Source organism: Homo sapiens, chromosome 12 (genome assembly GCF_000001405.40).
Source record: "Homo sapiens chromosome 12, GRCh38.p14 Primary Assembly".
Classification (NCBI taxonomy): domain Eukaryota; kingdom Metazoa; phylum Chordata; class Mammalia; order Primates; family Hominidae; genus Homo; species Homo sapiens.
This window is the reverse complement of record NC_000012.12, coordinates 6,010,544-6,036,065: the sequence shown is the minus strand read 5'-3', so window position 1 is coordinate 6,036,065 and position 25,522 is coordinate 6,010,544. Positions and strand designations below refer to the sequence as shown.

General features: G+C 48.4%; 1 protein-coding gene across 2 annotated transcripts in view, besides 1 other annotated feature; it reads left to right on the top strand.

The window, feature by feature from the left end:
• VWF (von Willebrand factor) overlaps positions 1 to 25,522 on the top strand; it is a 175,794-nt gene that overhangs the window by 88,605 nt on the left and 61,667 nt on the right. For both annotated transcript variants that reach the window (NM_000552.5, XM_047429501.1), the window contains exons 20-34: positions 1,240 to 1,378; positions 4,488 to 4,622; positions 6,578 to 6,724; positions 10,020 to 10,160; positions 10,373 to 10,486; positions 12,279 to 12,435; positions 13,168 to 13,326; positions 14,031 to 14,166; positions 16,323 to 17,701; positions 19,196 to 19,312; positions 19,410 to 19,550; positions 19,834 to 19,977; positions 22,421 to 22,585; positions 23,936 to 23,979; positions 24,272 to 24,449. In NM_000552.5, coding sequence (NP_000543.3) covers positions 1,240 to 1,378; positions 4,488 to 4,622; positions 6,578 to 6,724; positions 10,020 to 10,160; positions 10,373 to 10,486; positions 12,279 to 12,435; positions 13,168 to 13,326; positions 14,031 to 14,166; positions 16,323 to 17,701; positions 19,196 to 19,312; positions 19,410 to 19,550; positions 19,834 to 19,977; positions 22,421 to 22,585; positions 23,936 to 23,979; positions 24,272 to 24,449 — 3,296 coding nt within the window. The remainder of the gene's footprint in view (positions 1 to 1,239; positions 1,379 to 4,487; positions 4,623 to 6,577; positions 6,725 to 10,019; positions 10,161 to 10,372; positions 10,487 to 12,278; positions 12,436 to 13,167; positions 13,327 to 14,030; positions 14,167 to 16,322; positions 17,702 to 19,195; positions 19,313 to 19,409; positions 19,551 to 19,833; positions 19,978 to 22,420; positions 22,586 to 23,935; positions 23,980 to 24,271; positions 24,450 to 25,522) is intronic.
• Positions 17,018 to 17,517: an enhancer, noted in NCBI's record as "H3K4me1 hESC enhancer chr12:6127715-6128214 (GRCh37/hg19 assembly coordinates)". NCBI's record gives its function as "activates a minimal SCP1, AML or CMV promoter by ChIP-STARR-seq in naive and primed H9 embryonic stem cells {active_cell/tissue: H9 hESC(naive and primed)}" and the evidence as "EXISTENCE:reporter gene assay evidence [ECO:0000049][PMID:30033119]".

Sequence of the window (25,522 nt, the reverse complement as noted above, 5' to 3'; positions counted from 1 at the left end):
GGGACCTAAATCTAAACATGACATTTATTTATGGTTCATATATACCTTATACACGTTGCCTGAGGGTAAGTTTATACAACATTTTAAATATGTATTTAATGTGTATTTAGTATTTTTAATGTTTGTGCATGAAACAAAGTTTTGTGTACATTGAACCATCAGAAAGTAAAGGTGTCACCCTCTCAGCCACCCATGTGGTGTCATGTTGGTGCTCAAAGTTTTGGGTTTCAGAACATTTTGGACTTCAGAGTTTTGGATTAGGAATGCTCAGCTTGTATTTCTGTTCAGGGAGATGGGCCCCAGGGAAGACAGGGACCTCGCCCCACCAGTCATTGCATTTGGGCCAAGCTGCCAGTGGGCACGGGGTCTGGAGGGTCCTTTCGTTGCAGGCCTTACACTGCCCATGAGCACTTCGTGAGTGTGCTTGCAGTGGCGTGGTTTGAGGTGAGGGTGGCTGGTTGCCTTCTCCCTTTTCCTTGGCCATCCTGCACGTAACCCCTCACCCTGCTCATTCACCCTGCCTTTGACTTGGTGGCTGTGCACAGCCTTGGAAAGAGGCCTACTGGACAGAGGTAGAGAGGGCTGTCTCTTGGGCTTGAGGTCTGAGCTTACCACCTCTGACGCACAAGTGGGCTTCTTGATGTCAGCTCTGGTTACGGGTGGTGGCAGGGAGGGACACGTGGCAGTGGGCAGATCACTATAGATTTTAACATGTAGCTACATACATCTTAACGTGTAGCTATGCACACAGGACTGCTCCTGGCAGAAGTGCGTACTTCATCACTCTTTTCTATACTCTGGGCTTTCCCACTGTTCTGTCTTGTTTTTCCCATTAGCCTCAGGCTTTCAACATCAGTGTGTCTGTTTTACAGACACCCTGTGGCCAATCTCAGGTAGATGTGGCTTTCAGGGTGAGGCTGAGCGAATTCATAACAGGAGGCCTAAAGAGCATCCGGGCCTCCTCCCTGGCTGCCTGGCTCACTTTGGACAACCCCTTCCCTTCTTTGCCTCAGTTTCCCCCTTTTAGGGACAGCCACTAGGCTTCCCTGTCTCCTGCTGGGCACCATACTGGGCCTATGAAGTCCACACTCCACGCTACAGGTCCTCAACTTCCTTGGGCTTCCTGGAGGGTTGGGAGGCACCCAGAGTATTCTGTGTTCCTTCATTGCCTCCATGGCCCAGATGGGCCCCTCAAACCCAAGGTGCCCAACTTGTCATCTCTGCCATGACTGCTCCTAGTGTCTGTCAGGACCGGAAGTGGAACTGCACAGACCATGTGTGTGATGCCACGTGCTCCACGATCGGCATGGCCCACTACCTCACCTTCGACGGGCTCAAATACCTGTTCCCCGGGGAGTGCCAGTACGTTCTGGTGCAGGTGAGAGGTGGGGAGATGGGGAGAGGGTGCTGTTTCTTTCTAGGAGGGGTGGGAGGTGTGGCCTCAGGTTGGGTTCTGTGGATCTGTCTGCAGAAACAACTCTGGGGTCTGGTTTCTACTGGAGTACTTCCCAGTCCTTCACAGAAGTGCCTGAAGCGGTAGGGGATTTGAAGCTCAAAGTGGTTGTCCATTTTCCCTCTGCTCACCTGGGGACTTATAAAACGAGACAGAAGCTTGTTTGTTGTTGAGGATTGGTGTGGGAGAAAGGCTACTGCTAGTCCACATTAGCACAGATGTGGAATTAGAAAAAGTCATCTGTTCCTTCTGGTAGACACAGCCTCAGTCAGGGTGCATAGCTTAGGGAGTGGGTTGGGCTGGGAAGTCAGTCCCGCTCAGCCTCCCTTCCAGCACCCTGGGCAGTGCACAGTCTGCAGGTGTTGTGCAGTGGCCCTGGACAGGGGGATGGTTGAAATGACCCCTGGAGTTTGCTTCCCACGATATGGCTTTGTGGAATTCTCCGCCATTTTAATGTCTAACTTGGTACAATTCAGAATGGGAGGAGTGGGAGGATGGGACACAGGAAAGTCATCCTGCCCAGCAGATGAGAGCGATCCAGGAATCCTCACGGTGAGTGTGGGCAGCAGCCCCTCTGCCTCCCACTCCCCACTGCGTGGATTCTTGTAAGTTTCTCTTTCTGGTTGACATCAACTGTGTAAGCAAGGAAGTATGAGTGCTTTTCTCACCAGAGCTGAGGCACTGTACTCTGTGAAGCTTTGAACAAATATGGTCCCTCTGTCTCCATTCCCAGGAGGAGGAGGGGCGGGAGCTTGGTGTGGTCTGAATGGAAGACCACAAACCCATAGGAGCCCCAGCCCCAGAGGCTGAGTTGCAGGAGCTGGTGAGTCAGGCAGCGTGGGTGACTGTGGACCGACCACTCGTGTAGAGCATGCTGGGCATGGGGCGGAGCCAACAGCAGCCTCCTCAGTCCCCACCTCACACCCGGGCTGGCCCAGAGAGGCAGGCAGTGTGCTGGGGACACAGGGCATGCAGACCAGGCAGGGAACCTATGATCCGGGGGGATATGCGCCCCTTTAGAGCTTTCCCAGAGATTCTATATGGAAGTTTCCCAGCCTCAGCAGCAAAAGAGAGGGCGACACCAGCTTTGCAGAACAACTGCCCAGCCCATTTCAAATCTGAACATCCAGGAAAAAATTAATTCAGTGCAGCAAGGACCAGACAGCTGGTCAGCATCTGCTGCTCCCAGCCCTTCCCTGCCCAGGCCAGCTTTCCCAAGTGGACCAGTTTTAAAGACTCCCCCTCCAAACGGTGCCCCTTGTGTGTGGCTTGTTTTCCTTTCCTACAGCTGGTTCTGTTGTCTTCTGATGCATTGTCCTGGGGCCCCTCCCCTTTCTGCCATCCTCCTTTGGGGAGTATCATCAAGACCTAACTCCCTCTTTCAGAAATCTCAGCTGAAGATAAGGACAAATAAAACACCTACACCCTTGTTTCCTCTTTTAACCTTCGCCATGCATCGACCTAACACAAAGCCATTTAACCTGACAATTCCATTAAGTTGAATGGAATCTTAGAGGTCAGATTGTGTGTGTTGTATGGACATATGTATGCATGTATGTGTGCATGTGTGTATGCATGAGCATGTCTGTGTGGGTGTATGCATGTGCGTGTGTGTGGGTGTATGCATGTGCGTGTGTGTGACTGTGTATGAGTACATGGGTGTATGTGTGTGTATGCGTGAGCGCGTGTGTGTGTATGGCTACGTGTGTGTATGTATGTGTATGCGTGTGTGTGTGTATGAGTACATGGGTGTATGTGTGTGCATCTGTGTATGTGTGAGCACGTGTGTGAGTGTGTGTATGAGTACATAGATGTATGTATATGTGTGTTTGAGTGTATGCATGTGCCTGTGTGTATTTGGGTGTATGTGTGTGTGTGGGTGTGTGTGTCAGAAAGGTAAGTGGTTTGCTCAGTGTTACCAATAAGTGGCAGAATCAAGATTCACACCTTGTTTTTATTTTTTCTTTTTTTTTTTGAGACAGAGTCTCGCTCTGTCACCCAGGCTGGAGTGCAGTGGTGCGATCTCGGCTCACTGCAAGCTCCGCCTCCTCGATTCATGCCATTCTCCTGCCTCGGCCTCCCTAGTAGCTGGGACTACAGGCGCCCGCCACCACGCCCGGCTAATTTTTTGTATTTTAGTAGAGACGGGGTTTCACCGTGTTAACCAGGCTGGTCTCGATCTCCTGACCTCGTGATCCGCCCGCCTCAGCCTCCCAAAGTGCTGGGATTACAGGCGTGGGCCACCATGCCCGGCCTCTTTTTTCTTTTCTTTTCTTTTTTTTTTTTGAGATGGAGTCTCGCTCTGTCACCAGGCTGGAGTGCAGTGGTGCGATCTCGGCTCACTGCAGCCTCCGCCTCCCGGGTTCAAGCGACACACTCTGTTTTTCTAAGTTGAACATTTTATCTTTCTTTTTCATCACATCACAATAATAGCCACCATGGGGGAGGCATTTGCCAGGAATGTGTCCCCTTTTGCTTAATTTTCTATGCAATTGACCAACAAGGACCAGAGCTCCTTATCCTCTCTACTCATCTCGACTTGGTAGCTCAGGACCCATGGAGCTGTGTCAAACCATCTTTGGTTCCATTTCTGGGCCAGCAGTGCAGAGGGATTCAACCAGAATTCAGAGCCACAAAGTGCCCTGTGGTCAAACTGTCCCAGTTACCTGGGTGGGACTCTAGGCAAGGCTCCAGTGGGACTCTAATGGGCTCTAGGCAAGGCCTTTGAGCCTGATGCATCCATCGAAGCAGGCCACATGTCACCTTCCTTCCCTCCCCCTCCTTCCCCACCCCCACCCCACTCACTGCAGGCACCTGGCTCATCTGTCGTGGGCGAGGTTGACACACCTGAGGGCATTCACCTGGGCATATCCCCCGTCCCCCAGACACACACAGAGGCACATATGCGCAGCCATGGACGTGGCAAGATCCTGTGACACGTACTCAAAGGCCTGTGATGAAGAGATGCCAATCTTCTGGTCTGGTGAGAGCCAGTGGGGATAATGGTCTTCTCCTGGCACTCCTCTTTCCCCAGGATTACTGCGGCAGTAACCCTGGGACCTTTCGGATCCTAGTGGGGAATAAGGGATGCAGCCACCCCTCAGTGAAATGCAAGAAACGGGTCACCATCCTGGTGGAGGGAGGAGAGATTGAGCTGTTTGACGGGGAGGTAAGTGCAGCCTCATCTCCACCCTCATGTCCCGCTTTGTGCTTCTGCCACTTAATAGGAACATTTTCCAAGCATTCATTTAGAGCTCGTGTGAATGGAATAACGCACAGCCATTAAAGAGGATGAGGCAGAGCTATTGCAACTGACCGTGACGTATTATTTTATGAGAAGAACAAGTGGCAGAACAATAGGGATGACACAATCCCATTTTAGCGACAGTGCAGAGTGTGTGTGAAGGATGTGCACATGTGTCTGCACAAACGTGGGAAGAACCAGTGCTCACCTCTAGAGTAGGGTGGGGACTGGAGGGTAGCCGGGTTTCTTTGTGTGTGTGTGTGTGTATGAAGTGATGATGTTATGGGATATGTTTCATATGTTTTTCTGTTCTTTTCAGATAAATACTTTATTTTTTTGAGATGGAGTCTCGCTCTTTTGCCTAGGCTGGAGTGTAGTGGTGTGATCTCTCTGCTCACTGCAACCTCCACCTCTAGGGTTCAAACGATTCTCCTGCATCAGCCTCCTTAGTAGCTGGGACTACAGGTGTACACCACCGTGCCCGGCTAATTTCTTGTATTTTTAGTAGAGATAGGATTTCGCCATGTTGGCCAGGCTGGTCTCGAACTCCAGACCCCAGGTGATCTACCTGCCTTGGCCTCCCAAAGTGCTGAGATTACAGGCATGAGCCACCATGCCTGGCCAGAAAGGAGCTCAAAAGAGGAGTAAACTAATTCAGTCCCCTGTGTACTAAGAACTTAAAAAGTAGTTCTCATAAGTGTACACAAGACTCCCTTAGGAGATCTTGTTTAAAATGTGGCTCCTAGAACTCCATGCTGAGATTCTGACTCAGTAGGTCTGGGTGGGGCCCAGGAACCTGTGTTTAAAGTTGCAGGTCATCCCCAGGCCACAGTTTTGGATCCGCTGCTTTGACTATGTGGAGTGCTGTGGAGACCCAGGCTCTGGGCACAAACTTGTCCTGGTATCTTCATTTTCTCCCATGGCCTCAGCCTGCAGCTCTGCCTTCTTCCAAATACCCACCATTGACAGCAGGGGATGGGAGGTGAATTCTTCACCATTATGGAAGAAAACTGCTTAGCAAGCATAACGTATTAACTGTGAGTCAGCAGTGTCAACTGCATTTCAAAGAACAGCTCTATTTAGGGCAGAGTGGCGGTGATGATGCTGAACAGGAGGTGTGCAGACATGTGAGGGATAGATTTGCACATGTGATTAGCTCTGCACTGCATGTGATATGTTACTAATGAGAGGACCTCTGCAAAGGGATGATGGCAGTTCTCAGCCTCAGCCTCAGTCTGATGAATTGGAGAGTCCGCCACACATGCTGAAATGGTCCTCCAGGGTACAGCACTGGCAGGGATTGGGCTAAGTCAGAGGCTCAGGTCAGAGCCCTTCTTGAACCTGCAGTGTGTGATTCCCAGCACTAGCACTGAGCACCTCAGTTTCCTTTTTCTTCAGCTCTGTCTCCTGATGACAGTGGCTCTGGGGAGGGGGAGGTGGTGGGATACAAGAAAGGTGAGAGTCTACTGCTTATTTTTATAGAGGAATAGATTTTTAAACAATCAACTAGAGATGCTTAAAATCATTGCCATGTTGAAAACCTATCTAGGAGACCACTATATTTAATGACTAATTGTCAATAAAATACCTGCTCATTGGTTTCATAGTACTTTAATTTCATAATCATGATTTTGCTGCTACCTCTGTTACCGTCTCTTGGTCATGGATGCCTGGAGAGTGGTGGTGGTGAGATGGTCACAGACATGTCCTGGCGTGGGGCTGGCCCTGCAGGGGTGCAGTGGCAGGTGGGGTCCTGGAGGGGTGGCAGTGCCTGCACTCGTGGGCACTGAAGACAGATGGGCAGGTGTAGAGTGGAGGGAGGATCTGGCTGTCGAGCCTGCCCTTCATCCTCCTGGATTTCTTGCTTTGTCTTCCTCCAGGTGAATGTGAAGAGGCCCATGAAGGATGAGACTCACTTTGAGGTGGTGGAGTCTGGCCGGTACATCATTCTGCTGCTGGGCAAAGCCCTCTCCGTGGTCTGGGACCGCCACCTGAGCATCTCCGTGGTCCTGAAGCAGACATACCAGGTCAGTGGCTTTCTTGCTTCATCTTGTTGGGGACTTGGCCTTTGGAGTGTTTTCTGCTCCCTGATCGTAGGTCTCTAAGGACTTGCTTTATGAATCCAGGTGCTCCTGTGTTGGGTGCATATATATTTAGGATAGTTAGCTCTTCTTGTTGAATTGATCCCTTTACCATTATGTAATGGCCTTCTTTTGATCTTTGTTGGTTCAAAGACTGTTTTATCAGATACTAGGATTGCAACCCCTGCTTTTTTTTTTTTGCCTTCCATTTGCTTGGTAGACCTTCCTCCCTCCCTTTATTTTGAGCCTATGTATGTCTCTGCACGTGAGATGGGTCTCCTGAATACAGCACACTGATGGGTCTTGACTCTTTATCCAATTGGCCAGTCTGTGCCTTTTAATTGGGGCATTTAGCCCATTTACATTTAAGGTTAATATTGTCATGTGTGAATTTGATCCTGTCATTATGATGTTCGCTGGTTATTTTGCCCATTAATTGATACCGTTTCTTCGTAGCATCGATGGTCTTTACAATTTGGCATGTTTTTGCAGTGGCTGGTACTGGTTGTTTCTTTCCATGTTTAGTGCTTCCTTCAGGAGCTCTTGTAAGGCAGGCCTGGTGGTGACAAAATCTCTCAGCATTTGCTTGTCTGTAAAGGATTTTATTTCTCTTTCACTTATGAAGCTTAGTTTGGGTGGATATGAAATTCTAAGTTGAAAATTCTTTTCTTTAAGAATGTTGAATATTGGTCCCCCCCTCTCTTCTGGCTTGTAGGGTTTCTGCCAAGAGATCTGCTATTAGTCTGATGGGCTTCCCTTTGTGAGTAACTCGACATTTCTCTCTGGCTGCCCTTAACACTTTTTCCTTCATTTCAACCTGGTAAATCTGACAATTATGTGTCTTGGGGTTGCTCTTCTTGAGGAGTATCTTTGTGGTGTTCTCTGTATTTCTTGAATCTGAATGACAATATCAACTTTTCTTTAGGTTTCTTAACCTACAGCAGCAAACCAATCATGCACAATATTAGTATAACACTGCAGACTATTCTAGGGTGTTTCCTTATCATTGAGTCATGGGCCAGCATGTTTTGAGAGCTATTTGTAAAATTGCTAATAACCAACTTTTGAGAACGGTTCCACTATTTAGGGTCCAACAGTTTGTTGGAACTTGCATGATTTCTTTAAGTGGCATGTATGTGACAAGTGGCTCTGGCTACTCTAGCCACTGGTTTAGTCAGGCAGGAATGGCCTCCACAGCATCCCTGATAACACCATCCATTTTCAGCTTGTACAAGCCAGTGAGGCAGCACTGCCCTCACTTCTCTGTGGCAGCCCATCTCAGTCCCAGAAAGCATTAACAATTCATTCATTCATTTATTCAACAAATACTGAGTTCCTGTATGTGTCAAACGTGGTCCTAGGCGCTGTGGATACAGCAGGGGAAAAAAGTTTTTTTGTTTAGGGGTGTGTGTGTGTGTGTGTGTGTGTGTGTGTGTGTATGTGTCTTCCATGTATTTGTTTTTTTATTGCTGCTATAACAAATCACCAAAAACTTGATAGCTTAAAACAACACATTTATTATCATATGGTTCTAGAGGTTGGAAAGCTAAAATTGGTGGGCAGGGCTGCATTCATCTTAGAGGCTCTGAGAGAGGTCCCTTTTCTTGCCTTTTTTACATTCCGGAGGCTGCCTGCATTCTTGGCTTGTGGCCCCATCCTCCATATTCAACGCTGGCAATGTAGCATCTTCTACTTTTTTTCTCCTTTTCTGCTTCTGTCTGTCACAGCACCTTTTGAACTCTGACCCTCCTGCCTCCCTCTGATCAGACCCTGTGATGACATTCAGCCCACACAGATAATCCAGGTTAAACTCTTCATCCCATGGGAGCCACTGTTTTGCCTTCCATAATCCTGGTGCAGATTATATCCTAGCAGGAATGTTACTATAGATAGTTTGGGCTGATGAGCCCTGTGAAGAGGGGATGTAAGAGCAGAATCTTTGGGGAAGGGAGGGAATGAGTCATGCCAGTATCTAGGGGAGAGAGTTTAGGCAGACGGAACAAGCACGTGCCGAGGCCTTAAGGTGGTAGGTGTCTGCAGCCGTTGTACAAGGAGGTCAGTGTGGCTACAGAGGAGGGACTTGGGGGTAATGGTAGTTCACGAGGGCAGGGAGGGGCAGTAGCCATACCATGGGGGCTACTAGGCCATGGGAAGATCGTTGGCCTTTTGCCCAACAGTGAGAACATTCTTCCTCTATGTTTCCTGGTGACTTACACCCCTTGTACCAAGCTGAATGCAGCTTATTGAAGCAAGATAGAATACATTTTTTCTCTTTGTCTCAACATCAGGGCTCTAAGTATATTGTAAAAGTATAGCACCTTTTCTTCTCCAGGCCAAATATTTCCAGTTTTTTCTGTAGTTTTTTTGTTTTATTATTATTTTTAGTTGACATTTAACTGTATGTATTTACTGGTGACAGTGTGATATTTCAGTACATGTATACAGTGTGTAGTGATCAAATCAGGGTAGTTACTATATCTGTTCCCTCAAACATTTACCATTTCTTTGTGTTGGGAACATTCAAAGTCTGCTCTTCCAGCTACTTGAAAATATACAATAAACTGTTGATAATTATAGTCACCCTGTGGTGCTACCGAACACTAGAACTTATCCCTCCTCTTTGTGTAGTTTTCACTTGTTTCTCACTCATTCGTAACTACTTTTTCAGAACTTGTTGCATGTTGCACTCCATGATGGGTGAACATGGAGACAGGTGAGACATATCTTCCTGATTACATTTATGAGAGAGCAGAATTCTGCCCAGCCTACTCTGAACAGGCTGCACTTCTCCAGGCAAGGGGACTCACCTTCCCAGAGGCAGGCAGTTCTATAACTTTCCCTCCTTGGACCCCTACACCTCCATTGGTGGAGCAGTGTACCTGGCTCCTCTCTCTGCTTCTATGCTTGTTGGGGACAGTGATAGTTCCCACCAGTGATCTCAGGGCCAAGGCTGCCTGATTCCCACCTCTGCCCTTGGCTGACTATGTGACATGGGCATGTTGCCTCTCTGTTTCCATAGCTTTAAATAAAATGGGGCCAGCAAGGAAGCTCAGGAATGGGTCTTGGCAATGGCAAGGCTTTGCTGCTCACCTCGGGCCTCCTCTGAGTCTCTGTCCCGCTCCTCCTCCTCTTCCTCGAATGCCCTCTGCCTCCATTGCCGCCAGGAATGTTCCCCTTTCCCCTGAGCCGGAGAGCATGCTCCTGGGCTTGACGGTGCTCATCCCTCAACTTGTCTCTCAAGGAGAAAGTGTGTGGCCTGTGTGGGAATTTTGATGGCATCCAGAACAATGACCTCACCAGCAGCAACCTCCAAGTGGAGGAAGACCCTGTGGACTTTGGGAACTCCTGGAAAGTGAGCTCGCAGTGTGCTGACACCAGAAAAGTACGTCTGGGTCTCTGTGTGGACAGAGCCCTAGAGCTTGCTTCCTGGAATGTCCCTCTGTCCCCATTGTCATGGGGGCTGGAAGGGGGGTTGTGGGTGGTATGACCTCCAGGTGGCTGCAGGGTGGGAAGGAGGGTCTCTTGGATCCTTCTGGGCTGAATAACCCCAGTTTGACCAGCTGACGGCTGGCCTATCTCTTGCCTGGTTCCCAGGTGCCTCTGGACTCATCCCCTGCCACCTGCCATAACAACATCATGAAGCAGACGATGGTGGATTCCTCCTGTAGAATCCTTACCAGTGACGTCTTCCAGGACTGCAACAAGCTGGTGAGGACCTTGAGGGTAGTGGGAAGCAGACGGTCCCAAGGCTTGGCCTGGTGGTATGGACACAGAGTGTGACCTTCTAACGTGGACACTACCCTCGTGTCTTGACATGATCTGCACCAAGACACCACTTCGGCTTTTTTTCTTGGCTTTCAATCTGGGAAACAAAAAGTAAAATCAACAGTTTCTAGGGGAAGCAATGCCTGGCAAAACATTTCCTTCTGCATGAGAAGTAACTCCCCTTGGCATGTGCCAATGCTTCTCTTTCAGCCCCAGTCTTAGGATTTGTTCTCTTATTGAAGTATCTTGTTTTCAACACCAGAGCCAGAGATTTCCTTTTCCTGTCACTGCTGCATTTGTCCAGACCAAAAGACCTTCCTCTCCCACCCCCTAAAACCCCTTGGTGCCCATTTCTTGTCTCACAGAAATTCTTTTCTGGCCTTAATTTTGGTGATTTTGAGTCCTCGTATTATGACTTATTTTTGTGTCTTCATCTCTAATGACAAGGAGGAATTCCGCAAGGTTAAGTGCAGTTGTCTCTCTCTTTTTTTTTTTTTTTTGAGACAGAGTCTCGCTCTGTCACCCAGGCTGGAGTGCAATGGCATGATCTTGGCTTAGTGCAGCCTCTGCCTCCTGGGCTCAAGCGATTCTCCTGCCTCAACCTCCCGAGTACCTGGGATTACAGGCACCTGCCACCACGCCCAGCTAATTTTTGTATTTTTAGTAGAGTCAAGGTTTCACCATGTTGGTCAGGCTGGCCTTGAACTCCTGACTCAGGTGATCTACCCACCTCGGCCTCCCAAAGTGCTGGGATTACAGGTGTGAGCCACCATGCCCGACCATAGTGCAGTTGTCTCTTATCTGCTGCATGTATGTGTGTACACACATGTGGACATGGGCTTGTACATGGACATATGTGACTACAGAAGTCTGTGTACACACACAGCCATGCACACATACATGCTGCTGTGTAACACCACCAATGTGGGAGAGACTGGTTGAAAACATGGATCTCAATTCTCTTTCTATCTATGCAGTGATTTTCGGTCTCTGAGGACTCCAAAGGATACTTACATTCCCTGGTTTGGTGGAAATCCTGGGCATCTGAGTTGGAAGAGTGAGGACAGGGGAGGAGTTGGGGACATTGAGACTGTTGGAACGTCTTGGAAACAATGACCCACTCAGTGTCTGAATTCATTTTCTGTCATAACTGCCCTGAAAAAGTCCAGTGTGTTTAGAGGCGTGTTTTGGGGATGAGGAAGGGTTGGAACTGGTTGAACTGGATTTGGAATCAGAGTCTAGGCCCTATTGTCCTGCATACCTGCCCCATAGCACTGCAGTGAGGCAGCTGCAGGGCCTGATGTATTTCCCCATTCTCTTTGCTGAATTGAGGCAAAGAAAGACAGTGACCAGCACATATGTGTGTTTGTGTTTTTGTAAAAGCACCCACATGCTCATGAGGCTAAGAGTGGGTTGTGAGGACAGATGGGTGGCTGAGCAGGGAGGTAGGCAGAGGGACAGAGGGAATGTTCTTCTGGAAAATCCTCAGGCTCATTGTGTTCTGCAGAAGGCCAGCAGCACTGCATTATTCAACTCTTCTTGCTGGAATGCAGATTAGAAACTAAGAATCTTGCCTTCCCACTCATTCCCTCTTTGAGACCATTGAGCTACATTTCTCCTTCTACCTGGACCCCCTTATCCTTAAATTGACCATCAGAACATTTGCACCCAGACTAAGAGCCAGAGTTCCTGACACCTGGCCATAGGCCTGGGCCACCTGAGGCTGCCTTTGCAGGTGGACCCCGAGCCATATCTGGATGTCTGCATTTACGACACCTGCTCCTGTGAGTCCATTGGGGACTGCGCCTGCTTCTGCGACACCATTGCTGCCTATGCCCACGTGTGTGCCCAGCATGGCAAGGTGGTGACCTGGAGGACGGCCACATTGTGCCGTGAGTACTGACGCCCTCATGTTCTCAGATGCCCTCCCTTCTTCCCATGTGTCTATGCTTGAAGACCTTGTGAGTGCAGGGGGATATCTTCATGGGCGAGAGAAGACAGAGTGTTAGTAGGGACTGGATGGCCAAGGGCTAAGGAGGGTTAAGACATTGGCTGTGTAAGAAGTTTATATTACGGGTGAGGTGGGACATGGATTCAAGGCATGAACATGTGGAGACTTTTCTTCTGGAGAGATTCTGGCAGGGGAGAAGAGGGAATACTGATGAAAAGAAGGAAGTCGATTTATGTCTTTAATTAGGCGTGATTATATTTGCCAATATGAGTGATCAACTCATACATTCATGTCTATAGAATCTTGCTTCTTTGGACAGAAGCAACTTAATGTTTTTATGTAGAAAACTGGGCCGGGCACAGTGACTCATACCTGTAATCCCTGTGTTTTGGGAGGCTGAGGCCAGAGGATTCCTTGAGCCCAGGAGTTCAAGACCAGCCTGGGCAACATAGCAAGACCCCATCTGTACAAAAATTAAAAAAAGAAATGAATTCAGAACCAATAGATTCTGGTTTAGGTGCTTCAACAATCCAGAAGTCTCTAATATTGGTGACGCCCATAGTCCCCTAGTTCCCCAACATTATCTCCAGATGGCGCAGGCCATCACCACATGGGTCTGCAGTCCTGGAGGCTTTGCCTGTTGTGGCCACAGCCTTGTCTCCTGTCTACACAGCCCAGAGCTGCGAGGAGAGGAATCTCCGGGAGAACGGGTATGAGTGTGAGTGGCGCTATAACAGCTGTGCACCTGCCTGTCAAGTCACGTGTCAGCACCCTGAGCCACTGGCCTGCCCTGTGCAGTGTGTGGAGGGCTGCCATGCCCACTGCCCTCCAGGTGAGGCCTCTATCCCTGGGGGTCAGGCTGGTGGGATGGGATAGGGATGGATGGAAAGGTGCTTCTAGGTCTTGCTTCATCTCAGCCTCCACCTGCCACGTCCTATCTCTGACCTGCAAGGCTGCTGCAGGTTCCGTGGGTTCTTTCATCAGAGTCAGGACAGTCGTGATTTTTCTCAAGTCGAGCTCCTCCAAAATGCTTTTCTGTGCCTATTTATGGGATTCTCACCTAAAGCAGCCCCTGCCGATAGAACTTTCTGCAGTGGGGGAATGTTGTATTGAATGTAACTGTGACGAGTGTGTCTGAGGAACTGAAGTTTTGAATTTTATTGAATTTTACTTAATTTAACGTAAATAGCCACACGCAGTTTGTGACGATCCTATGGTACAGCACAGCTCTAGAGTTACTGAAGGTGTTATTCAGAAGAGCAGAAAGAGCCCCGGAGATAAGATTTCATTTGTCCTGAGGCTTGGGGAGGTGAGGTAGGGTGAAGGAATCCCCGCTCCCAGTTTTGCAGAGGGATCAATCAAGGCACAAGCAGGAGAGATGCTCCTTGAGTGATGGGGTGACCCCTGGGAGTGCAGGCAGGAGGAGTTGGCTTCTAGGGCAGGAGGAGGAGTTGGCTCCTCCCTTTTAGTTAAAAATGAGGCTTCCTCGTGGGAAAGGGGAGCGTTTTGGTTCCTAATGAGAGCTTTCTTTTGCAGGGAAAATCCTGGATGAGCTTTTGCAGACCTGCGTTGACCCTGAAGACTGTCCAGTGTGTGAGGTGGCTGGCCGGCGTTTTGCCTCAGGAAAGAAAGTCACCTTGAATCCCAGTGACCCTGAGCACTGCCAGATTTGGTAAAACAGATTCCTGGGTTGTTTGAAGTGATGAATCTTATTGCTTCTCCAGGGGCCAGCTTAGAGACTAGGTTTTGGGTAAAAAGTCCTAGCCACATGAGTTGAGAGACTGAGTTTATTTTATTTGTTTATTTATTTAATTCATTATTTAATGTAGTTTATTGTTTTGTTTGTTCCTAGGGTTTGCTTCTTTTTCTTTAGGGATGGACTAGACTGCTTCCTCCACATATATTCCTCCACAGTGTTTTTGCTCTTAATAGGTTTTTAAGTCCTAACAGGTTTTTGCTTTTCTCACTGAAGGTGGGGGTATGGTCACTTATTGTCCTTGTAGGTCATGACTAGTCTGAGCACAGGTGTCCATATACTGGAGGTGGGGACTCAGGAGAGGAAAGTGAGATGGAACCCAGGGCCCTCAGGTAACATGAACGTCGTGGGGGCCATAGTCAAGGTGGCAGGGTGTGGCTGTCATAATGGGGAGGGAAGGTGCTCGTTGCTCTCACCCTGGCTTCTCACTGGACTTGCCTCTGGGAAACTGGCCTTTGGGGAGGTGAGAAGGAGTCCTCAGGGTGAGCTCTGAGCCCTCTGAAGTCCTGCTCATAAGTAGGGAGCATTTATTAAAATCCAGATCTATTCAACACCACTCCCTGACACTAATCAAGCCTTCTGGGAGCTTAAACTTGAGAACGTAAATTCGCTGGGGAGGGGCTATGGTCACAGCTGCTAGAGTCAGATCCTGCCGCCACCATCTGTACAAACAAGAATGAACACTGCCTGGGGTGAGTTTTCTAGCAAACACAGGAAACTAGAAAGTATGTCACTCATGCACTGTTAACCAAGGATTGAAGCAATAAATCTTGTGGATCACGGGAAGGAGGAATTAACTTCCTAGTAAGACTCTACCTGCGCACACTCTTTATGCTGAAACAGAGACTGTAGGGAGCAAAGGACTGGGTGATTCTGATGCTGGCTTGGGGTTCTGTGCCAAAAGGGCATGAGAGCTTCGAGCCCTCTCCCCACCTCCTTTGCTGGCACACGGGCAGGGGCAGCTGCCACGGTGCACGCTGAAGCTGCAAGCAGTGTGTGGACAGAAGTCCCACAGCAGGCTGGTGGCATCACCTGGTATCAAGCCGCAGGGGGACACTTCCCAGGCTCAGGGCGCTGCCGCCTTGTCAGCTTTACTGGGAGTGCTGAAGGCCAGGTGCCTCCAAGGCTGAGAGTCCAAAGAGGAGATGGTCCTGGCCCATATTGGTCTCCACCACACGGTCACTTGATTTCACCTGTGGGCTGGCAGGCCGTGCCACTTTCCGGGACACTGGCAAAAAGGTGATGTTACCAGCAGAGCCTGGAAATTTGGCATGGTAGTGTAGGAATTTGTGTGTGGGGGGCCACTGCTCTACTACAGACTTGTGGTGTGTGCTTGGGGCTGGGCACAGAGCCTGGCCAGTACCTGGCACATGAGAGGTGCTCACCCTATGTCTGCTGGAGGAATGAGTGAATGTCTTTTCCTAGGCCTGACACCGTGGAGACCCCTGTCTGCTACTCCCAAATAATTTGTTCTGCTAGATAAAGCTGGGGTTTTGAATCTTTATTCATCTTTCTACAATGTTTTTGCTCCAATTTTTTCTCTCTTCGTTAGGGCCCAACATATCAAACATGTTTTAAAACTCATGCAATTTACATTCTGTTAGAATATGTACTGTAAAGCATTTATCTTCAACAGAACATGTACAAACACAGGTTAGCGTCTACATTTTAGTAACATTTGTTCTTGGAGACACTTGTAAGAAGGCTTGGATTATAATTAAGTATTCATGTTGCTAAAGATGTAGGTTGAAAAGAAATCAGCTTTGAGTGGTTGTGTGGATGGCCTAGAACAACGAGTATATTTTTTCATATCCTAGGATGGGCTAAAGCTTTGGTTTCTAGAATCAAAGGAAGTCGGCTATGTGTGTGTTTTGAAGGTGGGGGGCATGCTATTTGGGGACAGATGTTAAACAATGACATCTCACTTGGATGTGGAATGGTCCATGGGATCTCAAGTTCAGGTGGAACAGAGGAGATTCTGTGGGAATATGGAAGTCATTGTACACTGTAGGGCTCAGAAGTGTCCACAGGTTCTTCCTGAACCATTTTAATTTCTTCGCTCTTTTCTGCAGCCACTGTGATGTTGTCAACCTCACCTGTGAAGCCTGCCAGGAGCCGGGAGGCCTGGTGGTGCCTCCCACAGATGCCCCGGTGAGCCCCACCACTCTGTATGTGGAGGACATCTCGGAACCGCCGTTGCACGATTTCTACTGCAGCAGGCTACTGGACCTGGTCTTCCTGCTGGATGGCTCCTCCAGGCTGTCCGAGGCTGAGTTTGAAGTGCTGAAGGCCTTTGTGGTGGACATGATGGAGCGGCTGCGCATCTCCCAGAAGTGGGTCCGCGTGGCCGTGGTGGAGTACCACGACGGCTCCCACGCCTACATCGGGCTCAAGGACCGGAAGCGACCGTCAGAGCTGCGGCGCATTGCCAGCCAGGTGAAGTATGCGGGCAGCCAGGTGGCCTCCACCAGCGAGGTCTTGAAATACACACTGTTCCAAATCTTCAGCAAGATCGACCGCCCTGAAGCCTCCCGCATCACCCTGCTCCTGATGGCCAGCCAGGAGCCCCAACGGATGTCCCGGAACTTTGTCCGCTACGTCCAGGGCCTGAAGAAGAAGAAGGTCATTGTGATCCCGGTGGGCATTGGGCCCCATGCCAACCTCAAGCAGATCCGCCTCATCGAGAAGCAGGCCCCTGAGAACAAGGCCTTCGTGCTGAGCAGTGTGGATGAGCTGGAGCAGCAAAGGGACGAGATCGTTAGCTACCTCTGTGACCTTGCCCCTGAAGCCCCTCCTCCTACTCTGCCCCCCGACATGGCACAAGTCACTGTGGGCCCGGGGCTCTTGGGGGTTTCGACCCTGGGGCCCAAGAGGAACTCCATGGTTCTGGATGTGGCGTTCGTCCTGGAAGGATCGGACAAAATTGGTGAAGCCGACTTCAACAGGAGCAAGGAGTTCATGGAGGAGGTGATTCAGCGGATGGATGTGGGCCAGGACAGCATCCACGTCACGGTGCTGCAGTACTCCTACATGGTGACTGTGGAGTACCCCTTCAGCGAGGCACAGTCCAAAGGGGACATCCTGCAGCGGGTGCGAGAGATCCGCTACCAGGGCGGCAACAGGACCAACACTGGGCTGGCCCTGCGGTACCTCTCTGACCACAGCTTCTTGGTCAGCCAGGGTGACCGGGAGCAGGCGCCCAACCTGGTCTACATGGTCACCGGAAATCCTGCCTCTGATGAGATCAAGAGGCTGCCTGGAGACATCCAGGTGGTGCCCATTGGAGTGGGCCCTAATGCCAACGTGCAGGAGCTGGAGAGGATTGGCTGGCCCAATGCCCCTATCCTCATCCAGGACTTTGAGACGCTCCCCCGAGAGGCTCCTGACCTGGTGCTGCAGAGGTGCTGCTCCGGAGAGGGGCTGCAGATCCCCACCCTCTCCCCTGCACCTGGTATGCTGGCACCTTGTGTGCAGGTGGGAGGGCTGGGCGAGGGCTGGCATGGCCTTGGTGCTACATGCATCTGCCAAGATACGACTCGGGTTCTAATCCTGGCTTCCCTGGTCTGTGTGGCCTTGGTTGAAACTTGCCTTCAAAGGGCCTGTGTTTCCTCACCTCCCTGGCAGGGAGACAAACTGTGATCCTTTTTCGGGGGAAGATCTTTTCTTATTGTGTGTGCTTCTATAAATTCAAAGGTAATGGAAGCCTATTGTTAACATTTAAACAATGCCAATAAGGAGTAAAAAAAAAAAAAAAATGCAAGTCTTACTTTATCACACAGCCTCTTCCCCACCCAATTCCACCCTCTGCCTTCAAGGTAACCTCTGTTAAAGGTGGTGATGATAAGCTTCATTTTGACCACACTGGGTGGGTGAAATTATTCCGAGTAGCTGACATTCTTCAGGGCAAGACCAGGATGTCAGGTGTCAGGTAGCAGGTGCAGTCTTCAGACACTGGAGTCAGACTGCCTTAGTTTGAATCTTATCTCTGCTACTTGCTAGCTGGGTAATTTTGGGCAAATACTTAACCTCTTTGTATATCGTCTATACAAAGGATGAGGCAAATACTTAACCTCTTTGTATATCATCTATACAAAGGATACACATCTTTGTGTATCCTCATCTATAAAATGGGGATAATAATAGCACCTACTTGCTTAAAATAGTATCTGGCACATGACAAGTGCTCAAAAAAAAATGCTTGCTCCCACTGCTGTTACTACTACCTTTTACTGACACTGGCGTCTAATCCATTCCTAGTTCCTGAACATCTTTATTCGGTGTGTTTGGGACCATCCCAGAATAATAAGCCTTCTTTTAGTATCTTTTGAGTCACACACTTGTCAGTACTTTTGTTTCTTTGTTTTTGTTTTTATTCACGGCCATAGATTTATTTAAATTCTTGTAATATTTCTGCTGAGGAAAACAACAATTACATCATTTCATCAAATCTCAGATGTGCTCAGACACTAACAGGAGCACTAGGCATTTATAGCTGGAAGAATCACAGTATGTTCACCTGCCCTGCAAGATCTGAGGACACAGCAGCTCATTGTCCAGGGAGGGGCTGCCGCTCCATTTCCTTTTGCAGTCTCCTTGTATTGCCAGGCCAGTATTTTACTCATTTCTAGAAGAATGGTGGCCCCTTCTTACCGAGGAAGCCTATGCCTGCTGCTTTTATTTGTAGACATTTAAACTTCCTTTGGGTAGAATTGGAGTCTTCTCAGTGTCTCTAAATCTGAGGTAGTCCGGACCCAGGAACTCCATCTCCCCATCCCCTCCTCCCTGGCCCACATTGCCCTTGTACTCACGAAGGCACCCCCCGCCCCCCTTGGTGGTGCCACGTGGTCAGCACGCCCTGCAGATCCTATTGGATGTCAGGTTGTAGGCCTGGTGGCCATTGTCCCTGCTGGCACCTGTGTGCTCACCTTCCTGGTTGTCTTTGCAGACTGCAGCCAGCCCCTGGACGTGATCCTTCTCCTGGATGGCTCCTCCAGTTTCCCAGCTTCTTATTTTGATGAAATGAAGAGTTTCGCCAAGGCTTTCATTTCAAAAGCCAATATAGGTGGGTGAGCGAGGCACCTGAAGCAGCAGGTGACGAAGAGGCTCTTTTTGTGGCTCTACTTGATTCAAAATAATCCGCATTTTCTCGTTCCGTTTAGGGCCTCGTCTCACTCAGGTGTCAGTGCTGCAGTATGGAAGCATCACCACCATTGACGTGCCATGGAACGTGGTCCCGGAGAAAGCCCATTTGCTGAGCCTTGTGGACGTCATGCAGCGGGAGGGAGGCCCCAGCCAAATCGGTAACGTTGGTGCCACAGGCTGGATGCAGAAGCTGCATTCTGGTTCTTATTTTTGGCATAAGTGACTGTGTGACCTCGGCCAGTCACTTTGCTCCTTGGCCTTAGTTTCTTCTCCTGGAAAGTGAGGGGCTAGATGCTCTTCCACGTCTCTCCAGATCTCAACTGGGTGTTCCTTGGAGTTTCTGAATCATTCAGCTTTTAAGTGACTTAAGGATCCACCGTTAAGACAGGGTGTCGAGCCGCAGTCAGTACTGACTTGGCGTGATCTGTTCTCCATCCTCAGGGGATGCCTTGGGCTTTGCTGTGCGATACTTGACTTCAGAAATGCATGGTGCCAGGCCGGGAGCCTCAAAGGCGGTGGTCATCCTGGTCACGGACGTCTCTGTGGATTCAGTGGATGCAGCAGCTGATGCCGCCAGGTCCAACAGTAAGAATCTGGTGTACAGTCCTCAATTCAGGAGAGCGAGACTTCAGAAATGATAGAGGATTAAAAGTGGGCTGGGGTTACTTTTGGATGTTGTGGCTGATATTAAATATGCTCAATACCAACCTCTGTCCTGGTTTCAAACAGCAGGAAATTATCCAACCACGATGTGATTAGGAAACCAAACAATAAAAAGTGTGTATTGATCCTATATCTTTATAACTAATTATAATCTTTAATTTCTCCACATTTTCCCTTTGTGTCCAGGAGTGATCATACCTCTATGCCCTTTCTTTCTAAAGTAGGATTCGTGGTCTCTTACTAAAATGTCATGTCTGAGGCCAGAGTGATTCATTGTAGGGCCTTGAGAACCAATGGGGGCTTTCATGTATTTAGAGTCCTTTCCTGGTACCAGGTAATGGGCTTGGCAGGGTTGATGGATGAGAGACAAAGGATCATGCTGTAGGAAAGGGAAGGATCCAGATGTCCAGCCTTGTGCTCCATAAGAACATGTGCTTATCATGTTCTTAATATCAACAGGATGTGAGCTGGGACAGGTGGTAGAGTCTAGGGACCACCTCCCAGCTGAAGAAGGTCTGGGTGAGTGGAGTGACATTGAGTCCCCTCGTGGCCACCTGGAGAACTGTTCATCTTTCAGAACCCTGCCTAGGAGTGCTGTCAGAACCCTGTCTTTTCTCTGCTGTCTTCCTGATGTTCTTCCTGAGGAAGTTATTTGCTCCGTTCTCTATGTCACATATGAGCTACTCAAAATGTGCAAATCGTATTGTATTGTATTGTATTTGTAACATATCTATTCCTTGCAAAAAACTGGGAGTTCTTTGAAGGCAAGGGAAGATCTTGCTTATTTTTGTATCATCTGTGTATGATGCACAAAATAGGTGACCATTTAACGTTTGTTGAGTGAATGAATGTGACATGTTTATGAAATCTATGATTTTAGGGTAAAGGACACTAAAAGGGAAAGGATATATATTTGGATAATATAACGAACTTACAAGAGCTGAAAAGCTGCTAATAGAAAATCCGTTCCAACCTGAAGCACATTGCAAATTCCTAGAACTTTCTGGAGAGCTGAATTGAGGAATTTCAGGATGGAGATTTTTTCTCCTTCAGTATCAAGAATCCAAAGAAAGATTTTCACTGGGAAAGAAAGCAGTTGTGGTCTTGAAGCAGATATGATCCAGAGCAAGTCATTTAACCGTCCAAAGCCTCGGTTTCTCATGTGTAAATGAGCATGCACATTCTCTGGGCTCAGCCCTGTGATATTTTCTCTTCTCTTCTTACATATACCCCCTTGGTGGTCTAGTTCAGTGTCATGGGTCTAAATACATTTATACATCTTTGACTTTGAAATTCGTATCTCCAGCCTCACCTCAACTCAGTTTGCATGCTCTAATAGGCAAAACTAAACTCCTGATTTTCACATCTGTCTTTCTTATCTTAGAAAATGGCAATTCCAACCTTCCAGTTGTTCAGTTCAAAAAGCTCAGCATCCTTGATTCTTCTTCCTTTTCCCTGATACCTCCATGCAAGCCACGAACAAACTATAGCTCCATCTTCAAAATACTTCGAGAGTCACACCTCCCCACACCATGTCCACTAGGGTCACCTCAATCCGAGTCCCCATCATCTCTCACCTGGACTATTGAAATAGCTGTCTAACTGGAACCCCAGCTTCCACCTTTGTCCCCTGCAGATCATTCTCAGCACAGCAGCTGCAGTGGCCCTTTAATATCAAAATCAGCTCCTGTCCCTCTGCTCTGTAGTCTTGGCTGGCTTTGTTTCATTCACAGAACATGGTGAGCCCTTACTGTGGCCAATGGAGCATTGCCTGATCCATGCCCTTTCCCTCTCTTGCTTGTCCCTCTCTCCCCAGCCCCCGGGAGCATGCAGTCACATTTCTGCTCTGGGGCCTTTGCACTCACTCTTCTCTCTGCTTGGGATGTCCCTCCCTCAGACATCCTCTTGGCTCCTTCCATCCTTACATCAGGTTTCTGCTCAGATGCCATCTTTTCACCAAATGCTTCTCCAACTGCCATATATGCAACGATAACCCACACCTCAGCCCTGGGCATTCTCATCCCCCTTATCTCATTTTGTTTTTTTCCTAAGCATTTATCCACATCTGAAATTCTATATATTTACTTTGTTTGTGTGTTTGTTGTCTATCTCTCCATGAGGACGGGGGACAGGGAGGGACTTTATGTGCTTGGTTCACTGCTGTACCCCTATTGCTTACAATAGTACCTGACACAGAGTAGCAGCTCATTAATATCTGTTGACTGAACATCTTCCTCATAGGGCTGATGTATGTGACCAGCCTGGAAAACATGAGGCTGTATTCAGATGCTGGATATAACGTCAGGCCAGTCCATTTTGAGCCTTCTTGCCCACAGATCCTTTCTTGTCTCTTTGCTAACTCTAGGAGTGACAGTGTTCCCTATTGGAATTGGAGATCGCTACGATGCAGCCCAGCTACGGATCTTGGCAGGCCCAGCAGGCGACTCCAACGTGGTGAAGCTCCAGCGAATCGAAGACCTCCCTACCATGGTCACCTTGGGCAATTCCTTCCTCCACAAACTGTGCTCTGGTGAGTCTTATAATACCTTTCTTACTTCCCTCAAAAAAAAGTTCCAAAATAAACCCGCCAAAGAAACAAAAATAGTATTCAAGAGACCCCAGGGTGCCCATGCATAAGATTTGGCCTTGAATGAAGATTATTATATAGACCAGGACCTTTAAGTTTCTGTTCATGGGAGGTGTATACCACAAGCCCCCATGGGGCCAGCAGAAAGCTTTCTGTGTATGGTCCTATTTCCACTCTAATTGTCCATGTGAACTTGGCAGAGAGAGCCTAAGCTTATTTGTGTAGAGGGATCTTGGACAAAAGAATCAGAAGACATAAGCAAGGAACCCCAGCGTTCCGTAGGTATAGTCTTCTTCCCCATGGGCCTAGACTAACTCTCAACATGGGTATAAAGGGCTTTAGAAATACGATAACACGGAGACTCATATCAAAGTACCATAGTTTAAGTTGATTTTAGGTTAGAAACTTAAAAAATATGCTTTTGGCCAGGTGCAGTGGCTCACGTCTGTAATCCCAGCACTTTGGGAGGCCGAGGCGGGCGGATCATGAGGTCAGGAGATCGAGACCATCTTGGCTAACACAGTGAAACCCTGTCTCTACTAAAAATACAAAAAATTAGCCGGGCGTGGTGGCGGGCACCTGTAGTACCAGCTACTTGGGAGGCTGAGGCAGGAGAATGGTGTGAACCCGGGAGGCAGAGCTTGCAGTGAGCCGAGATCGCGCCACTGTACTCCAGCCTGGGCAACAGAGTGAGACTCCATCTCAAAAAAAAAAAAAAAATACACACACACACACACACACGCTTTTTTTGTGGCGGGGGCCTGGGTTTGTATATTTTCCCGTTACTAGATGTAAGTCAAAACCTGCATAAAGCTACTGTCCTTCGGGGGAATAAGTCAATGCAAGTTTGCCCTTAAAGGGCAATAACTCTATGCAAGTTTTGACTTATAGCTAATAACATTAGCTGTACAGAGAGATGGCAGCTCTCCTGGTAGGAATCTTCAAGTAGATCTCTTTCAGGTTTCCAGGATCTTGCTTCATCTCCCCACCTTCCCCATCCCTGGCGTGATCTACATGTGAACCAAGATAATGACAGCGTAAGCTGTAGTTATTGCCATATTATCGCTGTTGTTGGCATCATAATTATTAATAACTGCAGAGCATGTCTGAAGAACCACAGGATGACCACCTCAGCCTCATGTCCCTATGTCTCCACTGTTAACCTTGTTCAGATTCTTTTCAGAGTTGAGTTGACTTCAAAAACTAGACCAGGTTGCTTAAGCAGACATTGTGAATGGTTCAGAATTTCTGGGTGAAAGATGGGAACTAAGGTCTTATTTGTGTCTGTTGCAGGATTTGTTAGGATTTGCATGGATGAGGATGGGAATGAGAAGAGGGTAAGTTCCTTTCTGTTGACTTTGAAAGAAAGGTTAGAGATGTGTTTGGGGCTCTTGTTCCCACTGGTTAATTTTTCCTCCTTTGGTCTTAGTCCAGTGCTTCCTTTTACTATTATCTTGTTTTTGCGGGTCCATCTGTACATCTTGTGTTTTGCTTCCTGTCTCATGTACAGGGGGCCTCCTTGCTGTGTAGGCCTGTGTTCAATTCTAGGGGTCAGTTGTCTGGCAGATGGGCTTAGAGTTGGAGTACCTCATCTTATTCCCTGCCTGAATCTGCTGTTTTCTTCTGCAGCCCGGGGACGTCTGGACCTTGCCAGACCAGTGCCACACCGTGACTTGCCAGCCAGATGGCCAGACCTTGCTGAAGAGTCATCGGGTCAACTGTGACCGGGGGCTGAGGCCTTCGTGCCCTAACAGCCAGTCCCCTGTTAAAGTGGAAGAGACCTGTGGCTGCCGCTGGACCTGCCCCTGTGAGTCCTTTGCTTCTCCAGCCAGGGCAGCGTCAAAGGGGCAGTGCTTTTAGCTTGGCTGTGCAGAAAAGTAGAGCAGGCACCCACCAGCCCAGAAGTACCCTTTCCCTCATCACCACATGCACAGTGCTACCTTCACTCACCTTCCTTTCCTCCTGTGCTCTTTGGACATGCATGCAGCCAGTCTCAGGGATCACTGCCCTCTTTCTCTGTCTTTGGAAGGCACTTCCCCAGATTATGCATAACTGGAAGGAAGAATTGCTTTTCTGAGGTCAATGCTCAGCTTGGCTGTTGGCAAGTCAACCTTTAGGAATCTGTGTATTCAGGGTATAGCAGTGGAAGTATAGCAGTGAGAGAGACGCTTCCAGAAAACTCTCCAACCACACCTATAGCAACAGTACATCACCAAGGCGGCCTGGATTAAGAGGAGGAAATATTTAAAGTCCATCTCATGTACACTTGTGGAGAGCATGTCATCCATGGGCTGGGTTAGCCTTCTGTCTCATGTTTGGGAGCAATGACTGCTTATGGTGACCATGACTCAGCAGTGGATTGTAACCTTTATGCTGAACAGGCATAACTGGTGGGATGCAATCAAAACTGTATTTATAGCTCATTCCCCCTTTAGAATTTATTTAGTGAGATAAATTTCCCTCTTGGTCTAGGTGAAAACTCCACCAGACTTTAGGTTTCTTCTGTTTATTCATAAAGAATTCTATAGTTACTTTGTCAGAAGACAAAGTCTCAGTTGATAACTAGATACCCACTCTTGCGTAATAATCAAAACTTTGAATTTGATTAGAGTTAAAACACCTCCCAGTTCCAATTTAGGCTGCCTGCCTCTGGGAAGGAGGGTATGGTCAGCTTTCCTCTGTACAAAGAGCTTTGCCTTTTGTGATTAAAAGCATATCCTGGAAATTACTCGATGTCATTTCAAAGAGAGCTTCCTAATACTTCACTGTGTACCATAGGTTACCCAACTGTTCTTCTATGGATGTGCGTTTAGGCTGTTTCCAGTGTTTTGTAATGACAAGCAATGCTGCAATGAGTAAACCTGAACATACGAACGAATT